This window comes from Homo sapiens, chromosome 17, assembly GCF_000001405.40.
Source record: "Homo sapiens chromosome 17, GRCh38.p14 Primary Assembly".
Classification (NCBI taxonomy): domain Eukaryota; kingdom Metazoa; phylum Chordata; class Mammalia; order Primates; family Hominidae; genus Homo; species Homo sapiens.
Window position 1 is genome coordinate 81,861,060 of NC_000017.11, and position 16,733 is coordinate 81,877,792.

General features: G+C 56.9%; 1 protein-coding gene and 1 long non-coding RNA gene across 10 annotated transcripts, besides 17 other annotated features; one reads left to right on the forward strand and one right to left on the reverse strand.

Annotated features, from left to right (window-relative positions):
* On the forward strand, window positions 51-6,697 carry LOC124904086 (uncharacterized). Its single transcript, XR_007065950.1, has 2 exons — window positions 51-80; window positions 2,104-6,697. It is a non-coding gene; the product is annotated as an uncharacterized LOC124904086 (long non-coding RNA).
* Window positions 3,174-3,468: a silencer, noted in NCBI's record as "tiled region #9355; K562 Repressive non-DNase unmatched - State 14:Gen5'". NCBI's record gives its function as "represses a minimal TATA promoter and a strong SV40 promoter by Sharpr-MPRA in K562 cells {active_cell/tissue: K562}" and the evidence as "EXISTENCE:reporter gene assay evidence [ECO:0000049][PMID:27701403]".
* Window positions 4,386-4,435: an enhancer, noted in NCBI's record as "active region_12979". NCBI's record gives its function as "activates an Ori minimal core promoter by ATAC-STARR-seq in GM12878 lymphoblastoid cells {active_cell/tissue: GM12878}" and the evidence as "EXISTENCE:reporter gene assay evidence [ECO:0000049][PMID:35858748]".
* Window positions 5,045-5,673: an enhancer, noted in NCBI's record as "H3K27ac-H3K4me1 hESC enhancer chr17:79823980-79824608 (GRCh37/hg19 assembly coordinates)". NCBI's record gives its function as "activates a minimal SCP1, AML or CMV promoter by ChIP-STARR-seq in naive H9 embryonic stem cells {active_cell/tissue: H9 hESC(naive)}" and the evidence as "EXISTENCE:reporter gene assay evidence [ECO:0000049][PMID:30033119]".
* Window positions 6,304-6,932: an enhancer, noted in NCBI's record as "H3K27ac-H3K4me1 hESC enhancer chr17:79825239-79825867 (GRCh37/hg19 assembly coordinates)". NCBI's record gives its function as "activates a minimal SCP1, AML or CMV promoter by ChIP-STARR-seq in naive H9 embryonic stem cells {active_cell/tissue: H9 hESC(naive)}" and the evidence as "EXISTENCE:reporter gene assay evidence [ECO:0000049][PMID:30033119]".
* Window positions 6,486-6,545: a silencer, noted in NCBI's record as "silent region_9155". NCBI's record gives its function as "represses an Ori minimal core promoter by ATAC-STARR-seq in GM12878 lymphoblastoid cells {active_cell/tissue: GM12878}" and the evidence as "EXISTENCE:reporter gene assay evidence [ECO:0000049][PMID:35858748]".
* On the reverse strand, window positions 6,662-10,278 carry ARHGDIA (Rho GDP dissociation inhibitor alpha). 9 transcript variants are annotated; one of them, NM_001301242.2, is made up of 7 exons: window positions 10,239-10,278; window positions 8,682-8,898; window positions 8,483-8,566; window positions 8,271-8,347; window positions 8,114-8,177; window positions 7,997-8,016; window positions 6,662-7,884 (listed from the first exon to the last, which is right to left on the reverse strand). In NM_001301242.2, the coding sequence occupies exons 2-7, from the start codon at window positions 8,869-8,871 to the stop codon at window positions 7,306-7,308; spliced, it is 1,014 nt and encodes a 337-aa protein (NP_001288171.1). In that variant the 5' UTR covers window positions 8,872-8,898; window positions 10,239-10,278; the 3' UTR covers window positions 6,662-7,305. The 9 variants fall into 9 exon arrangements, 8 of the variants coding, with proteins under 8 accessions (NP_001288171.1, NP_001288169.1, NP_001288170.1 ...); NM_001301240.2 differs by having other exon boundaries at window positions 6,662-7,525; window positions 7,930-8,016; NM_001301241.2 differs by lacking the exon at window positions 10,239-10,278 and adding an exon at window positions 9,577-9,938 and having other exon boundaries at window positions 6,662-7,525; window positions 7,930-8,016.
* Window positions 6,896-6,985: a silencer, noted in NCBI's record as "silent region_9156". NCBI's record gives its function as "represses an Ori minimal core promoter by ATAC-STARR-seq in GM12878 lymphoblastoid cells {active_cell/tissue: GM12878}" and the evidence as "EXISTENCE:reporter gene assay evidence [ECO:0000049][PMID:35858748]".
* Window positions 6,896-7,562: a biological region, named in NCBI's record as "H3K27ac-H3K4me1 hESC enhancer GRCh37_chr17:79825868-79826497".
* Window positions 6,933-7,562: an enhancer, noted in NCBI's record as "H3K27ac-H3K4me1 hESC enhancer chr17:79825868-79826497 (GRCh37/hg19 assembly coordinates)". NCBI's record gives its function as "activates a minimal SCP1, AML or CMV promoter by ChIP-STARR-seq in naive and primed H9 embryonic stem cells {active_cell/tissue: H9 hESC(naive and primed)}" and the evidence as "EXISTENCE:reporter gene assay evidence [ECO:0000049][PMID:30033119]".
* Window positions 7,563-8,191: an enhancer, noted in NCBI's record as "H3K27ac-H3K4me1 hESC enhancer chr17:79826498-79827126 (GRCh37/hg19 assembly coordinates)". NCBI's record gives its function as "activates a minimal SCP1, AML or CMV promoter by ChIP-STARR-seq in primed H9 embryonic stem cells {active_cell/tissue: H9 hESC(primed)}" and the evidence as "EXISTENCE:reporter gene assay evidence [ECO:0000049][PMID:30033119]".
* Window positions 7,696-7,745: a silencer, noted in NCBI's record as "silent region_9157". NCBI's record gives its function as "represses an Ori minimal core promoter by ATAC-STARR-seq in GM12878 lymphoblastoid cells {active_cell/tissue: GM12878}" and the evidence as "EXISTENCE:reporter gene assay evidence [ECO:0000049][PMID:35858748]".
* Window positions 7,906-8,055: an enhancer, noted in NCBI's record as "active region_12980". NCBI's record gives its function as "activates an Ori minimal core promoter by ATAC-STARR-seq in GM12878 lymphoblastoid cells {active_cell/tissue: GM12878}" and the evidence as "EXISTENCE:reporter gene assay evidence [ECO:0000049][PMID:35858748]".
* Window positions 8,346-8,555: a silencer, noted in NCBI's record as "silent region_9158". NCBI's record gives its function as "represses an Ori minimal core promoter by ATAC-STARR-seq in GM12878 lymphoblastoid cells {active_cell/tissue: GM12878}" and the evidence as "EXISTENCE:reporter gene assay evidence [ECO:0000049][PMID:35858748]".
* Window positions 8,686-8,865: an enhancer, noted in NCBI's record as "active region_12981". NCBI's record gives its function as "activates an Ori minimal core promoter by ATAC-STARR-seq in GM12878 lymphoblastoid cells {active_cell/tissue: GM12878}" and the evidence as "EXISTENCE:reporter gene assay evidence [ECO:0000049][PMID:35858748]".
* Window positions 9,586-10,015: a silencer, noted in NCBI's record as "silent region_9159". NCBI's record gives its function as "represses an Ori minimal core promoter by ATAC-STARR-seq in GM12878 lymphoblastoid cells {active_cell/tissue: GM12878}" and the evidence as "EXISTENCE:reporter gene assay evidence [ECO:0000049][PMID:35858748]".
* Window positions 10,216-10,625: a silencer, noted in NCBI's record as "silent region_9160". NCBI's record gives its function as "represses an Ori minimal core promoter by ATAC-STARR-seq in GM12878 lymphoblastoid cells {active_cell/tissue: GM12878}" and the evidence as "EXISTENCE:reporter gene assay evidence [ECO:0000049][PMID:35858748]".
* Window positions 10,806-10,875: an enhancer, noted in NCBI's record as "active region_12982". NCBI's record gives its function as "activates an Ori minimal core promoter by ATAC-STARR-seq in GM12878 lymphoblastoid cells {active_cell/tissue: GM12878}" and the evidence as "EXISTENCE:reporter gene assay evidence [ECO:0000049][PMID:35858748]".
* Window positions 11,326-11,425: an enhancer, noted in NCBI's record as "active region_12983". NCBI's record gives its function as "activates an Ori minimal core promoter by ATAC-STARR-seq in GM12878 lymphoblastoid cells {active_cell/tissue: GM12878}" and the evidence as "EXISTENCE:reporter gene assay evidence [ECO:0000049][PMID:35858748]".

A 16,733-nucleotide genomic window follows, 5' to 3' on the forward strand; every position in this document is an offset into this window, starting at 1 on the left:
GCCCCCCGGCCCCCGGACCGGAAGTTGGGGTGACGCAATTTCCGGCGCGCGTGTCAAGCGTGCGGCGGCGGCCGTGGAAGGTGGGGTTGGCCGCCTAGGGTCGGCGGTGGGCTCGGTGTGGGATAGCCGGCCCGGTCCGACGCGCTCCGCGAGGTCACGCGAGACACTCACCGAGGCATGGCGGCAGGGCCTGGGCATGGGAATCGTGCGCACAGTGCGAGGAAGCCTCGGAGGGGATACGAGCACAGGGCGGGTGGTTAGGAGAATGGGGCTGGAGAGACGGGCGGGAGGGGCGGGACCTGGGCCCCGGGGACCTGCCGGCTCCCAGGCCCCAGGAAGACGCTGCTCATGCGTGGAGCGGCCGCAGGAAAGGTACTCCCCGCTAAGGCCTTCAGGGAGCGGCCCTTTGCCCTGTGCGATCTCTTCCTTCCTTTCCCACGGGTTGCCAAATCCTGTGACGCTGCCCCTTCTCTGGTGCTTCTCAGATGCTCTGGTCGGCTCAGGAGACCTCGCAGCTGTTACACAGCTGTGGAAATACCCTGGGCGCTGCTTCACTCCGAAGGCAGCAGCTGGGTTTGCCTCCCGACTCGACCCGCCACCGAGGCTCCTGAGCACTTGAAATATGGCCAGTCCACCTGAGACGGGCTGTGAGTGCGCAATGCACATCAAACTTCTAAGACTGAGTGTGCGGGGCCGAGTGCGGTGGCTCACGCCTGTAATCCCAGCACTTTGGAAGGCCGAGGCGGGCGGATCACGAGGTCAGGAGTTCGAGACCAGCCTGATCAACATGGTGAAACCCCCTCACCTCCCGTCTCTACTAAAAATACAAAAATTAACAGGGCCTGGTGGCGCGCGCCTGTAATCCCAGCTACTCGGGAGGCTGAGGCAAGAGAATCGCTTGAACCCAGGAGGCAGAGGTTGCAGTGAGCCGAGATCGCGCCATTGCACTCCAGCCTGGGCAACAGAGCGAGACTCCATCTCAAAAAAAAAAAAAAAAAAGTGTGCGTGTAGGGGCTGGAGGACAGAAGGTACAGTATTTCGTTAATAACTTTACATTGACTACTACATGTTGAAATATTCTGTATGCATATGTTGGATTACATAATAATATTGAGGCCAGGTGCTGTGTGGCTCACTCCTGTAATCCCACCACTTTTGGAGACCGAGGCAGGAGGATCCCTTCAGCCCAGGAGTTCGAGACCAGCCTGGGCAACATAGTGAGACTCCCGTCTCTACAAAAAATAAATTAAAAAAATTAGCCAGGCACGGTGGTGTGCACCTGTGGTCCCAGCTACTTGGGAGGTGGAGGTGGGAGAATCATTTGAGCCCAGGAGGCTGAGGCTGCGGTGAGCCATGATCCCACCACTGCACTCCAGCCTGGGCGACAGATCGACACCCTATCTCAAAAAATAGTAAAAAAATGTCCTTTTTTTAAAATTTTTATTTTTTATTTTTTTGAGACAGAATCTCACTTTGTCATCCAAGCTGGAGTGCAGTGGGCGATCTCGGCTCACTCCACCTCCCGGATTCAAGCGATTCTCCTGCCTCAGCCTCCCGAGTAGCTGGGATTACAGGCATGCACCACCATGCCCAGCTAATTTTTGTATTTTTAGTAGAGACAGGGTTTTACCATGTTGGCCAGGCTGGTCTCGAACTCCTGACGTCAGGTGATCCACCCGCCTTGGCCTCCCAAAGCGTTGGGATTATAGGCGTGAGCCACCGCACCAGGCCTCCTCTTCTATCTTTTAACGTGGCTTTTAGAAACTTTTAAAATTACATAGATGGTCTGCATTTTGTTAGTGTTGGACACTGGCAGCCCTCCGTCTCCCTCACTGCCTGGAATCTGCTGCTCTCCTTTTCCCCAGGTGCCTGCCCTCTCCATTCCTCCTCACTTTCCTCCGCTGGGAATCGGCACCGCCACTGATTTTAAAGTTGAAACTTGGCAGGCAAAAGGGAGGTACTCCCATGTTAAATGTATACACATTGACTGCAATAGTATCCTGACTTTTGAAATGGTAAAACGTAGAGTAAGTTGCTTTTGTACTTTGAGAGTTTCTGTTTGTTGATCAGTTGTTCCTGAGAACATGCTTCTCCTTCCGACAGGGAACTCCCTCCACTAGAATATGAGCTCCTTGTGGTCAAGACTGGGTCCCCTGTTCCCTTCCCCCCAGTGCCAGCGGAGCAAAGGTCAGTCAGCGGCATAAGTTGTACCTGCTGGGAGAACTGTCTGCTTCCTCCGGGTGACTTTTCTGGCCAAGAAGGAATATGAGTATGTGCCTCCCTGAGCACTGGCCTGGAGCCCACTCAGGAAACACCATCTCTTCATAAATGGTTTTGATTGCAGGCATTGTTCCTTCTGCTCTCTGGATGATGGAAATTGCTTCAGGTCACTGCACTATCTTCCAACGTTTTTGTGGTTGCCATGAGCTGTTGTACAGACCACAGTTTGGGGCCTGAGACAAGCTGGGCATGGTGTTGCATGCCTATAATCTCAGCTACTTTGGAGGGTGAGGCAGGAGAATAGCTTGGGCCCAGGAGGTCTAGGCTGCAGTGAGCCATGATCATACCACTGCACTTCTGTCTGCGTGACAGAGACCCTGTATCTTACATAAAACCCCAGCCCATATTTGTACCACATCTAGATACGAGGTCAGAGTTCAGATGCCTAAATATTGTAGCTTGTGTTTTGTCCACTGTTGGGGGAAGAGTGAAGAGATTTGACATACCATAATGTTGATTAGCTTGTGATGGTTTGGCGGCAGCTTAGGCCAGAGCATAAAGTAAAAAGGAAAAGTGTTCACAGACAATGAAAACTGGGACCAAGTGGTGAATACTCAAGGCACACAGACCAGGCAAGGATCCCAGTGGCCGTGGATGAGTCTCAGGCTGGCTCTGGGCCAGTGGAACACACCTCAGTGTGGGTGAAGGCCTAGCCAGGGTAGCAGAGGGCAGGGCTACAGAACAGCAGCCCAGGTGGCTGTGGCCGACCTGACATTCTCCTGTGAAAATCAGGTGCCCAACCAGCACTAATCTAGATAGATGGCAGCATTTTTTTTCTTTAAAGACAGGATCTTGCTATGTTGCTCAGGCTGGTCTTGAACTCCTGACCTCAAAGGATCCTCCCCTCTTCAGCTTCCCAAAGCACTGGGGTTACAGATGTGAGCCAGCACGCCCAGCCGAATCACAGTATCTTAGACAGATGCCATGGCTGCCCATAGGGTCCTCTCAAGGTGCCTCTGCCCTTGGACTGGCTTCCTACACCAACCTGACAGGTGCAGCAAAGGTGGACTTTCTGGTAAGGCTGGAGGAGGAAGCCTGGTCTGCGATGGCCTGAGACGCCCTCTATGGGGGTTGTTGAGTGGATGGAAATGTGCAGGGCATGGGTCCTGCCCCCAAGAATGCAGGCTGGTTCCGCTGGGCACCTGCAGAGGGCTGATGTCCTTTTCCTGAGGCCTGCTCCTGTGCCTTCTAACCCTAGGGTGAGAAGATGGGCTGTGTTCACCTCATGCCCAGGCCCTTCGAGGAGTGTGCCCTTGGGGGTCAGAGCCCTCCTGTGGCTGGTATTTCTTTGGATCATCACAGGTGCTCCAGACATCCTTTAGGGAGTCTCAGGCTTGGTGAAGGGATCCATTAAATGTTGCTTAGTTGGTTTTTGTTTGTTTTTTGTTTTTTCGAGACAGAGTCTCCCTCTGTTGCCCAGGCTGGAGTGTGGTGGCGTGATCTTGGCTCACTGCAACCTCCACCTCCCAGGTTCAAGCGATTCTCCTGCAACCTCTGCCTCCCAGGTTCAAGCGATTCTCCTGCCTTGGCCTCCTGAGTAGCTGGGATTATAAGCGTGTACCACCAACCCTGGATGATTTTTGTATTTTTAGTAGAGGCAGGGTTTCACCATGTTTGTCAGGCTGGTCTCGAACTCCTGACCTCGTGATCCTCCTGCCTCGGCCTCCCAAAGTGCTGGGATTACAGGCGTGAGCCATCATGCCCAGCCAACTGGTTTGTGATTAAATGTTTTGATTGATGCAGTTTTTGAAATGTACTGTGTGTACAATATTACTCTTTTGAGACAGGGTCTCACTCTGTCACCTAGGCTGGAGCACAGTGGTGCAGTCATGGCCCACTGCAGCCTCTGCCTTGTAGCCTCAAGTGATCCTCCTGCTTCAGCCTCCTGAGTAGCTGGGACTACAGTTGTGCACCACCATGCCCACCTAATTTTTATTTTTTTAAAGATGGGGTCTCCTGTGTTGCCCAGGCTGGTTTTGAACTGCTGAGCTCAAGTGATCTGCTTCTGGCCAGCTACTACTCTTAAAAGTAGAGTTCTCAGAGCAAAACAGCTCCCTTTCAACCTTCAGTCCGGTCGAAGGTGTGGTGGGGGTAACAACAGCAGGCTCATGGATACCTGGGCAGTGCTCCGAGGTCCCTCCTGTGTTCCCACTGAGCAGCAGCCTGCTGTGCCCGGAGTGGAGGTGAGAAATCCAGCAGCAGCGCGGTGGTGAGTGTGGGCCCTGCGGAGTGTGGCAGGCGCTCATTATGGTGCAGGGCAGTGTTGGGCACAGAGAAGGTTCTCAGAAACCACAGTAACCCATGGTTAGTTGGTCACATCCCAGACCCTGACCTAGCACTGGCTGGCACTGTGACTTGTCACTCTCCTGAATGGAAGAAGTGTCCACCTGGGGGTGGCTGAGGAGGTGGATGCTAGGGGACTGCTGGGAGCCACGGACCTGTGGAGGTTGGGAGAGGAGACTGCAGGCGCAGGCTGCTGGAGGCGAGGAGGCCTCTCTGGAGCGCCAGGCCATACAAACAGGTCCCAGGTGGGGCCACGAGGATCAGGTTAGACTTGGGACCCGAGAGACACGTCATGCCCACTGTGCAGGTGCCACCTCATGTTATCCTGCACCAGGGGAGGGGCCAGCCCAAAGTCCTGGCTGCTGGCAGCATGCCCGTACAGCTTGGCACCTGGGTCTGAGTTCACATGTCTAGCAAAGCTGGGAAAATCCAGGAGCAAGAAGGTGAAGCCCTTTGGCTCAGCCCAAGCTCAGAAGGCCCTTGCCCGATGAGCCGAACTGCTGACAACACCCTGGCACTGGGCTTGGGGACTCCCCTGGAGCATGTAAGAAGTGAACTGGGAGCGTGGGAGAAACTGTCTGGCAGGGGCTGCTGCCTCGGAGCTCATCCTCCCTGGCTGTGCTGGTGTCTGTCCAGTGGGATTAGCCTCCATCCTGTGGTTTCACCACCCCACCGCCTCTCTCCCCCACAGCACAGGCAGAAGCAGCAACGCAACACGAGACCACCTCGCTTGGGGCTAGTAGCAGTTCTGGGAAAGGCTCGGTAGGGTCTTTGCTCCCTGCGGAATCAAGGGCTGGGGGCTGACCCAGGCTTTCTCTATAGCTGCTTCCAGATCTGGGTCTGGACCAGCTTCTGCAGGAAGGCACCATTCTGTTGGGGTGTCTGACACGGTCAGCTCTAGGCTCAGCCTCTGCGGCCCCCACAAAGGCCTAGCAAGGATGGGGCAAGGTGGCAGTGGTGCCCGCACGCACTGCCCTGGCACAGGTGTGTAGTTAGTGACCTGAAGCATGAGGGCATCTCCCTGCCCACCCCAGCTGGAGATAAGCCCCTTGCGGGGCCCACCCTGCTGATAAACCCCAGAGCAGTATGGCCTGTGTCAGAATGACCAGTAGGAGGGCCCCGGGGTAGCAGCTGCCCAGCCCAGCTGCGTGTGTGTGTGAAGTATTTTCCTCAACACCTTATACCACAGAAGGCAGATTTTGAAACTCGCATCAGGCCAGAAAAAGAATTTCTGAATGGACACTTCTAAGGGGTGCCTGGTTACTCATCTGCCTCTTCCCCCTGCAGGGTAGAGGGGCATGGGTTTGAAGTTCCCGGGGGCTCTTGGAGACTGCAGACACGGACGAGCTGGGGTTCCTGGATGCTGCAGCAGTTGGGGCCCCTGGCTGAGCGCACCTGCCCCAGGAGGCCCTGCGTGGTTCCCCCAGTAGCCCCTTCACACCACACCGCAGTGAGGATGCCCTGTCTCCTGCCGATCCCATCACACCAAGCCTTTTCGCTGTTGGGCTCCTGGCACTGCCCGATCCTGGAGGGCACTTGGCTGCGGCTGTGGCTGTGAAGGGCTGGTGCTCTAGGCGCCTCCGTGGCCCCCGTTGCCTGGGCACCTACTTCCTGCCTCAGCCACAGCTGCATCCACGTGCGCCAGGGGCCACAAGGCCGACCCTGGCTTGGGCCTGTTCCTCCCTGGGTTTCCTTGGGATCCAGTCATTGGAGGGCCCGCGCACAGCTGGGCCAACTCGACACCTCCAAGCCCGGCCAGGGAATCAAGCAGCTCTCCCTCTGGCAGCATGAGCTACACAAGCCAGGCCCGTCTTCCCATTCCCTTAGCAAGGAGGGGCAACCCCAGCCAAGGCCTTCTGCACTGTTCTAGACTGTTGCTGCCTAGGGCTACTGTAGCTGGGAGTCACATTCCTTTCTCCCCAGATAGTTGCAAGGGGCCCAGCAGCCACAGCACTTCAAGGGGGCCCTGCCCTTCCCCTCCCACCACCCCACCAGGGTCCCCATCTTCCCCTTTGTCTCCTAAAGCCCGTGAGGCAGTAGAGGAGCCAGGCCCTCCCCTGCCACACCCTGGAGAAGCCAAGCAGCAGACACCCCCAGCTCCTTCAGGGGCATTTATTTCCCGGTCAGAAAAGAAGCAGGGACAGGCGCCTCTGCCTGAGCCTGGCAGACACAACACGAAGACCGGGGATGGGGCGGGGGAGGCACAGGAGACGGCTCTCAGCAATGTGTGCACTTGGTCCCTTGTTTGTTCCTGGCTGGGTCAGGGAAGGCCTGCCGGGGGTGGTGGCACTGAGAGCCTGGGGGAACAGGCGCCAGGCCAGTGGCCCAGGGACGGCACGGACGGAGGCAATAAATACTGATGGCCAGGCGGGGCTCCTGGCTGGGCCCAGGTGGGGTGAGTGAGGCTGTCCATCGAGGGCTCTTGGGGGGGTGTGGGCTCTGGGCACTGCCCGCTGAGACAGAAAAGGCAGAGGCAGGACAATACCCAGCCTCCTGGATGGTACTGAGGTGACTTGAGTTTTGGCAATTTGGCTTTCCCCAAGCCGCCGGAGCCATCTCCACAGCCCTGTCCAGGGAAGGGGGCAGGCTGGCCAGGCACTGGTGGGCTGGGGAGCAGCAGCAGCACACCCCACGTGTCCCTGGGTCACTGGGTTCGCCACCGGGGAAGGGACGGGGAGGCCACATGCTCATGCAGACACAGGGAGTTAGAGGCTAGTGAGGCCCCACGGTACACTCCACATGTTAAGGCATCATGGTTAGACGGGACCGACAGCGACAAGGGGGCTGGCCAGGGAGCAGCGGGGCTGGAGGACGGCCCGGCCCCCACGAGGCCGTGCATCCCACACCCCAGCTCCACCCCGGAGCAGCAGACGCACACGTCCAGGGGCAACCACGGGGCCTGGAGAATGGCTGCTCCGCTCCCTCCTGAAGCCAGGCCTCGGGTGTGACGGGGAGATAGAACCTGGGGGGCACAGAAAGGGCAGCAGAGGCCTGGCTGCGGCCTCTCTCCCCCACAGCACAGGCAGAAGCAGCAACGAGACAGGAGACCGAGGAGGCTGGGCCTGTGGGTGGGGGAGGGCTGAGGAGGGGGGTCGGAGGCACTCGGTTGAGCCAGGCCAGGGAGGCGGACCAGGGTGGGAGGGGCACGGAGGGCCTGTCAGCACTTTGGTATGGGGAGGGGAGGGGCTGGGGGGGACACATCCGCCTGTCCGTCGTCCGTCCGTCAGTCTGCCCTGCCCGCCTCTGGCTGGGCTCAGTCCTTCCAGTCCTTCTTGATGGTGAGATTCCACTCCCAGGACAGGTGGTCGGTCTTGTCGTCGTCTGTGAAGCGGGACTTGATGCTGTAGCTGCCCCGGGCCAGCATACCCTTGGGTGCCTCCTCCACGGGGGTCAGGAACTCGTACTCCTCGGCCCGGGGCCCATAGCTGCCTACCATGTAGTCAGTCTTGTCAACTGCGGCACAAGGAAGAGGGCGGTCAGCGGCCCCGCTTCCCCGCCTGGCAGCACGCACCCAAGCGGCCCCCTCTGCCCTGCCCGGGGCCCCACTCACTCTTGACGCCTTTCCTGTACGTATGCTGGATGTACTTCATGCCGGACACTATCTCTCGGTTAACCTGCAGGACCCGAAGCGAGGATCAGGGAAGGTCGGTCCGGACCCCAGCCCCAGCCCCGCCTCCATTCCCTGGCCACAGCAGCCTGTAGCTTACCCGGAAAGAGATTTTTATCCGGTACTCCACACCCTCCTTCAGCACAAACGACTGCTTCTTGAAGCTCTCCAGGTCGCCTGTTGGGGGGACCTCCCCCTCAATGACTGCCCAGCAGCCCTGCGCGAAGCCCCAGCCCTGCGCGGCCCCCTGGCTGCACTTCCCGAGATCCCCACCAGGGGCCGCCCGGACCCCCGCGGCCGCAGGGCACTCACCCGTCAGGTCCAGCTCCAGGGGGCCCGGGGCCGAGCTGCACACCAGGGTCAGGCCAGTCACCACGACGTTGGGGACGTTGGGGTCTGGGGAGTGACAGCAGGTGAGGGCCCCACCCCCACCAGTGGAAGTAGGGGCTGGGGAGCGGCAAGACAGCTGGAGTGAACGGGCGGCCACCCGGCTCCCGCAGCCCAGACTCACCTGCGGAAACGGCCACGCGGCCCAGCAGGGCCTCCTTGTACTTTCGCAGGCTCTCGTCGTCCTTGTCCAGCTCCTGGATCTCCTGGATGCTCTTCTGGGCCGGGGGCTTGTAGTTGACCGAGTGCTCATCCTCCTCGTTCTCCGCTGCAATCTGGGCCAGCTGCTCGGCTGTGGGCTCCTGCTCAGCCATGCTCAAGCTTAGCCTGGGTCGGGACACCTGTGGGCGGGACGGTGACAGGCCTTGGACCTGGATCCCCAACGGAGGCGCACTTCTGAGCAGGAGTGTGGGCTGCAGCCGGAGCTCCAAAAGGGCTCCAAGGGGGCCACCTTCGCTCCTCTCCACCCCCGCGATTCCTGCTCAGGGGCATCCTCTGGGGCAGTGTGAGGTGCCCCCACCCCAGGTATAACATCTAAGACAAAATGGGAACTGCAGCCGATCATGGGGAGAGAGGACACACCTCCCCCTCCACGATGGAGGAGGCAGCAGCCCCCTGTATGTGTGGGGCGGGGCTAGCAGGCCCCAGAATCAACCGGCGGGGCCCACACTAAACCCTCTCTTAGGGTCTTGCCGCTCTTGAGCTGCCCAGGCCCTCGCCCTACGGGGTAACGGGGCTCGGTATCCCTCAGTAGGGTTGCTCCTCTGGCCGTGGTAGTCACATGTAAACGTGTGTGGTCGGCTCAGCGTCATCTTTCAAACAGGATGCCCCTGGAGCTCGGATGTTAGGGGCAGCTAGAATACCGCACGGGGCCACCTGGACACGGGGATCCTAAGTATCTGCGGTTTCTCCACAATTGTGAGGGTCTGTGACCTACAACTTGGGAGCTACCACAGCCACTCAGTACTCTCGGGCCCTCTTGTAGATGGTGGGCCCGGAGTGCCCGGGGCAGCACTGACCCGGCAGGGGATCTGTCAGGCTCAGATCCTTCCCGGCAGCGTGGGAGGTGGGTCAGGGAGCAGCACACCCGGGACACCCAGGCCGGGGTCCAGGCCGCCCTGCTTCCTCCAGGGGCTGGGGCCTCCGCGCCGCGCGAGGATAGCCGTAGGCGCCGGGATCCTAGGGCGCGGCCCGCACTTCCGCAGGGCCCGCAATCCGTGCCGGGCGTGGCCCGGGCGCTGGGGGAGGCCGCGCCCCAATCCCCGCGTCGCCCCCGAACGCGATGGACCGCGGCTGCCGGCCCGGCGCCCCCCGCGTCCCCAAGGAGGGGCCCTCAGGTCTGGCCCGGGCCCCACGCGCCTCGGCGGCCATGAAAGAAGCTCCGGACCGCTCGGGAGGGGCCGGCACTCCCCTGGTCCCCGCCGCCCCTCCGGCCCGGGACCCGCACGTGGGGCCGGGGCCGCCGCCGCCCGGTCCCGCCCCGGCCCCGCCCTAGCCCGCACCGCCCTGGCCCGCTGTCACCGCGCCCCCGCCCGCCGAGACCCTGCCGCGGGCTCAGGGCGGGGCGCGAACAAAGGCGGAAGCCCCCACCTCAGCGCCCCCCGCCCCCGCCGGCGCCGCCGGTCCCCGCCCCGACCCGCCGCCTCCGCCCCGCCGCCTCCGCCCCGCCACGGCCACTCACCGGAGGGTTCGGCCGCGCGGTTCAGGATCCCTCCCGCACTAAATGACGAACGTCGTCGGCCGCCCCGCCCGCCCTGCCTGTCACTTCCGGGGTCACGAGACTTCCGCTCACTCGGGCGGGGAAGGCCAGGGCGCATGCGCGGCGCGCGGGTGGCCGGGGGCACGCCGTCGCCATCTTGCGGCTGGGCCTCGTGGGCGCGTTCCGCGTGGGTTCTGGCGTCGTCACCTTCCACCCCAAGCCCCGTCAGTGGTCACCTCTGTAAGCCAGGGCACTTCCCTACGCGAGCCCAGGGCGCCCGCACCCGGGAGGCGAGGTCCGGTCCCGCCTCTCGCCGCTGCCCAACCCGCGCCCACTCGAGGCCTGCGGCGGCCGCGTGGGCTGTGGAAGCCCGCGCAGGTGCAGTGCGCTGCCCTCCCCGGCCCAGTCGGTCCGACTGCGACTCTTGCTTCGGGGCCTAGTCACCTAGTCCCGGGACTTCGGGGAGGTAACGGGCACGGGGATTAAGTTCTCGTTAAACACGGGCGAGAGCGCTGGCGCGCGGGCCGTTCCAGGGCCTTGGTGTCCCCCGTGGAAAGACAGGGCTGTGGGGCTAGGAGGAGCCCCTTGCACGCCCCGCGGAAAGCTGGTGCTGGGCGAGGGCGCAGCGGAGGTGTTTTTCTCCAGGCTGAGACAGAATTCGTGCGCAGCGCGCGTGGCTGCCTGGCGCAGGCGCCGCTGCAGAGGCCCTAGTGTCCCTGAGGAATCCCGCGGCTCCTCAGGACCAGGAGGCAGGGAGCTCCTGGCACCGTGAGCAGATGAGGGGCTGCCTCAGCCTGGGCTTCACCGCAGAGCCCTGTTCCCCACTCCGCTTGTTCCGAGATTCCACACATTCGCCCACAAGGGCCGTGTTGAAGTATCAGGAACGGCCGCATAACGTGAGTGGCCTGGCCCAGCAGCAGTGCTCGCACCCAGCCCCGGGCTCGCCTCTCCTGGAGGCCAAGCCCCTAAATGCCCTGCACCAGACACTGGGTGGGACGCTGCCCCGCGTCCAGCCTGCAGCACTTGTTAGGACTGTGGACTCGTTAACGTGGACGCCTCTTTTATTTATTGATTGATTATTTTTTTGAGACGTAGTCTCAGTGTCGCCCAGGCTTGAGTACAATGGCACAATCTCGGCTCACTGCAACCTCCACCTTTCAGGTTCAAGCGATTCTCCTGCCTCAGCCTCCCGAGTAGTTAGGATTACAAGTGTGAGCCAACATGCCCAGCTAATTTTTGTATTTTTAGTAGCGACAGGGTTTCACCATGTTGGCCAAGCTGGTCTCGAATTCCTGACCTCAGGTGATCCACCCACCTCAGCCTCCCAAAGCGCTGGGATTACAGGCATGAACCACCGGGGTGCCCAATCTTTTTTTTTTTTTTTTTTTTTCTTCAAGACAGGGTCTTGCTCTTTTGCCCAGGCTGGAGTGCAGTGGTACAATCTCAGCTTACTGCTGCCTCTATCTCCTGGGCTCAAGCAGTCCTTCCACCTCAGCCTCCCGAGTAGCTGGGACTACAGGTGTGCAACACCATGTCCAGCTAATTTTTTATTTTTTGTACAGACAGGGTCTCACTATGTTGCTCAGGCTGGTCTTGAACCCCTGAGCTCAAGCGATCCTCCTGCCTCAGCCTCCCAAAGTGCTAGGATTACAGGTGTGAGCCACCATGTCCGGCCACCCAGCCTCTTTTAATCACTCTTGAGCTCCATGCAGACAGGGCCCTGTCTGTTTGGCCCATACTGCCAGGCAACCCAGGCTGATCAAGAGAAGTGGAGACCACACGCACACACACACGCACAGCTGCTTTGTTCAGACACAGACATGAACACAGGAGGGCATTTTTGGGGACAGAACTATGCAAAATACCGAGCTTGGTGTCTTTTGAAAATTTCTGAATGTTGGAGGGATATTTGAGAGTTTCTGTAACTGAGTCACACTGTCAGTGCCATGTCATCAGCACAGCGTTTCCTAATCAGGTGTGAAATGCTTCACTGTTAAAGACTCAGAGCCCCTGTGCAGGTGATCATGTTGCCCAACTTTCCAATAACCCAAGTGCTTTTAAAAAAAAACTGTTGGGCCGGGCGCGGTGGCTCACGCCTGTAATCCCAGCACTTTGGGAGGCCGAGGCGGGCGGATCACGAAGTCAGGAGATCGAGATTGTCCTGGCTAACACGGTGAAACCCCGTCTCTACTAAAAATACAAAAAATTAGCCAGGCGTGGTTGCAGGTGCGTGTAGTCCCAGCTACTCGGGAGGGTGAGGCAGGAGAATGGCGTGAACCCGGGAGGCGGAACTTGCAGTGAGTGGAGATCTCGCCACTGCACTCCAGCCGGGGCGACAGAGCGAGACTCTGTCAAAATAAATAAATAAATACATAAATAAAAGATTCGATTGTGTGGGTATACATTTTGTTTGTAACCATTCCAGTTGGCAAATATTTGGTTTCTTTTTTGTCCATTATGAATAATACTGCCATAAACATTTACGAATATTATAAACCATTATAAATGTTGCATTAAGCCTTTTCATGAATATGTGCTTTCATTTCTCTTGGGTAGATTCCTGAGTGGAAGTCCCCAAATGTTTTCCAATGTAGGTGTGCCACTTTGCACCCCCTAGCAACGCTGGGCTGCTCCAGGTGGCCACAGGCTCAGCAATACCTGCTGTGCTTGATCCCAGCTGTACAAGTGTGAAGCAGTGTCGTGTCACACTGTGAGTCGCACCTGCACTTCCCCAATGAGTCTTCCTGGGCAGAAACCTATTTAAATCTTTTGCTCATTTTTAATTGGGCTGTCTGATTAAGCTATGAGTACTTACATATCCTGTATACAGTCCTTTATCAGATATATGAGGCTGGGTGCAGTGGCTCACGCCTGTAATCCCAGCACTTTGGGAGGCCGAGGCAGGCGGATCACCTGAGGCCAAGAGTTTGAGACCAGCCTGGCCAGCATAGCAAAAAAACTGTCTCTACCAAAAATACAAAAATTAGCCGGGTGTGGTGGTGCACGCCTGTAGTCCCAGCTATTCGGGAGGCTGAAGCAACACAATCGCTTGATCCCAGAAAGCAGAGGCTGCAGTGAGCTGAGATTGCCCCATTGCACTCCAGCCTGGGCAACAAGAGCAAAACTCTGTCTCCAAAAGAAAAAGATAGGTGATTTGCAGACATTTTATGTGGTTTGTCTTTCATTTTCTTAATGATGTCTTCTTAAGGGCAAAACCTTTTATTCTAGTGCAGTAGTTTTTTCCACATGGTGCATGCCTTTGCTATCCTAAGAACTCCTGAGCTGAGGTAGGCGGATCACTTGAGCCCGTGATGTCGAGGCTGCAGTCAGCTATGATTGTACCACTGCACTCCAGCCTGGGTGACAGAGACCCTGTCTCAAAAACAAACTCTTAGCCCAACCGGATATTGTAAAGATTCTCTCTCATATTTTTTCTGTGATCTTCTGCTATATTTTATGTTTGCTGACATTTAGATATACAGTCCGTATTTGGGTTAACTTTTCGTATGGAGTGAACATCTTTTCTGTGTGTAGGAACATCCACCTGTCCTGGCACCCCTTGTTGAGAAACTATCGTTTCCCCCAATGCAATGTCTCACCACCTTTGTTGAAAATTTATTCACCATAGGCCGGGTGCAGTGGCTCACGCCTGTAATCCCAGCACTTTGGGAGGCCAAGGCAGGCGCAACACCTGAGGTCAGGAGTTTGAGACCAGCCTGCCCAATGTGGTGGAACCCCGTCTCTACTAAAAATACAAAAATTAGCCGGGCGTGGTGGCACATGCCTGTAGTCCCAGCTACTCGTGAGGCTGAGGTGGGAGAATGGTGTGAACCCGTGAGGCAGAGGTTTGCAGTGAGCCAAGATCGTGCCATTGCACTCCAGCCTGGGCAACAAGAGCAAAATTCCATCTCAAAAAAAAAATTTTTGTTCATGTAAATCGAAGGGTTTATTACAAAAATTAGCTGGGCATGGTGGCGCACACCTGTAGTCCCAGCTACTCTGGAGGCTGAGGTGGGAGGATCACCTGAGCCTGGGAGGTCAAGGCTGCAGTGAGCTGTGATCATGCCACTGCACTCCAGCCTTGGTGACAAAAGGAGATCCTGTTGCTGGGCATGGTGGCTCATGCCTGTAATCCCAGCACTTTGGGAGGCCGAGGTGGGTGGATCACCTGAGGTCAGGAGTTCAAGACCAACCTGGCCAACATGGTGAAACGTGGTCTCCACTAAAAAATATAAAACTAGCCAGGCATGGTGGCACATGCGTGTAATCCTAGCTACTTAGGAGGCTGAGGCAGGAGAATTGCTTGAAACCGGGAGGCAGAAGTTGCAGTGAGCCGTGATAGCGCCATTGCACTCCAACCTAGGTGACAAGAGCAAAACTCTGTCTCCAAAAAAAAAAAACCAAAAAAAGGCCAAGTGCGGTGGCTCACGCCTGTAATCCCAGCACTTTGGGAGGCTGAGGCAGATGGATCACCTGAGGTCAGGAGTTCAAGACCAGCCTGGCCAACATGGTAAAAACCCCATCTCTACTAAAAATACAAAATTAGCCGGGCCTGGTGGTAGGTGCCTGTAATCCCAGGTACTCGGGAGGCTAAGGCAGAATTATTGCTTGGACCTGGGAGGCAGATGCTGCAGTGAGTTGAGATGGCACCATTGCGCTCTAGCCTGGGCAGCAGAGAGACCCTGTCTCTCAAAAAAAAAAAAAAAAAAAAAAAAAGGACAAAAAAAGACAGACAGACATATATGTCTTTGCCAATGCTACGTCCTAAAATGATGGCATCACATTAACTGGCTTTCTTGCATTACTAAAAGGATGAACTTTTAAAATAATTTTGTTATTTAAAAACCTTGTTTATTTTTATTTGTTGAGATGGAGTCCTGCTCTGTTCCCGAGGCTGGAGTGCAGTGGTGCGATCTTGGCTCACCACAACCTCCACCTCCCAGGTTGAAGCAATTTTCCTGCCTCAGCCTCCCGAGTAGCTGGGACTACAGGCACGCACCACCATGCCCAGCTAGTTTTTGTATTTTTAGTAGAGGCGGGGTTTCACCATGTTGGCCAGGCTGGTCTTGAACTCCCGACGTCGTAATCCTCCTGCCTCAGCCTACCAAAGTGCTGGGATTACAGATGTGAGCCACCGTACCCGGCCAGAAACAACTGTTTTTTAATTTTTCTTTTGAGACGGAGTCTGGCTCTGTTGCCCAGACTGGAGTGCAATAGTGCGATCTCGGCTCACCGCAACCTCCGCCTCCCAGGTTCAAGCGATTCTCTCCTGCCTGAGCCTCCTGAGGAGCTTGGGACTACAGGCACACGCCACCACGCCCAGCTAATTTTTGTATTCTTAGTAGAGACGGGGTTTCACCATTTAGGCCAGGATGGTTTTGATCTCTTGACCTTGTGATCGCCTCAGCCTCCCAAAGTGCTGGGATTACAGGCGTGAGCCCCTACACCCGGCCGAAACAACTTTTTAAGATAGAATCTATGTTGTTCAGGCTGGATTCAAGTTCCTGGGCTCAAGTGATCCTCCTACCTCAGCCTCCCAAGCAGCTGGGACTATAGGCATGTACCACTTCGTCCAGCTTCCGGCTTTTTCCATGGTTGTAAACTGCCTATTCATGTTCTTGGTGGTAAATGTTTCCCAAGGTTGTTTGTCTTGAATTTGTGAGATTGTCTGATTTGCAGAAGTTTTTGTTTGAGAGTCTTGCTCTGTCACCCAGGCAGTACAGTGGCACGATCTTGGCTCAGTGCATCCTCCACCTCTGGAGCTCAAGGGATCCTCCCACCTCATCCTCCCGAGTAGTTGGGACCACAGGTGGCACCATCATGCCCAGTTAATTTTTTTCTTTTTATGTTACAGCAATGAGTCTGGGTACTTTTTGCATTTTTTAAATGTTTTTTGTAGAGATGGGTTTTGCCATGTTGCCCAGGTTGGTGACTTACAGAAGTTTTTTTTTTTTTTTTTTTTTTTTTTTTTTTTTTGAGACGGAGTCTCGCTGTCGCCCAGGCTGGAGGGCAGTGGCCGGATCTCAGCTCACTGCAAGCTCTGCCTCCTCGGTTTACACCATTCTCCTGCCTCAGCCTCCCGAGTAGCTGGGACTACAGGTACCCACCACCACACCTAGCTAATTTTTTGTATTTTTAGTAGAGACGGGGTTTCACCGTGTTAGCCAGGATGATCTCGATCTCCTGACCTTATGATCTGCCCGCCTCGGCCTCCCAAAGTGCCGGGATTACTGGCATGAGCCACCGCGCCCGGCCTACAGTTTTAAAAAGTCCTTACTGTCCTGCAAAGATAGGGACTCTTTTACCTAACAATACCATGAACACACCCACCAAAACTGACAATGCTTTCTGACATCTAATAGTCTCTGCTCAATTTTCCCCAAGTCTCTTCTTGCAATTGTGTCCCCACATCAGAATCTGGACAGAGGCCGTGCTGTGCACTGGGATGCCCACTGCCTCTATTTCCTCTTCTGCGCT

Coding starts and splice junctions, on each gene's coding strand:
- ARHGDIA (NM_001301242.2), bottom strand. CDS start 8,871: ATGGCTGAGCAGGAGCCCACAGCCGAGCAGCTGGCCCAGATTGCAGCG. Junction 8,348..8,482: donor CCTGGAGCTGGACCTGACGG/GTGAGTGCCCTG, acceptor TCCCCCCAACAG/GCGACCTGGAGAGCTTCAAG. Junction 7,885..7,996: donor TTGACAAGACTGACTACATG/GTAGGCAGCTAT, acceptor CCCGCTTCACAG/ACGACGACAAGACCGACCAC.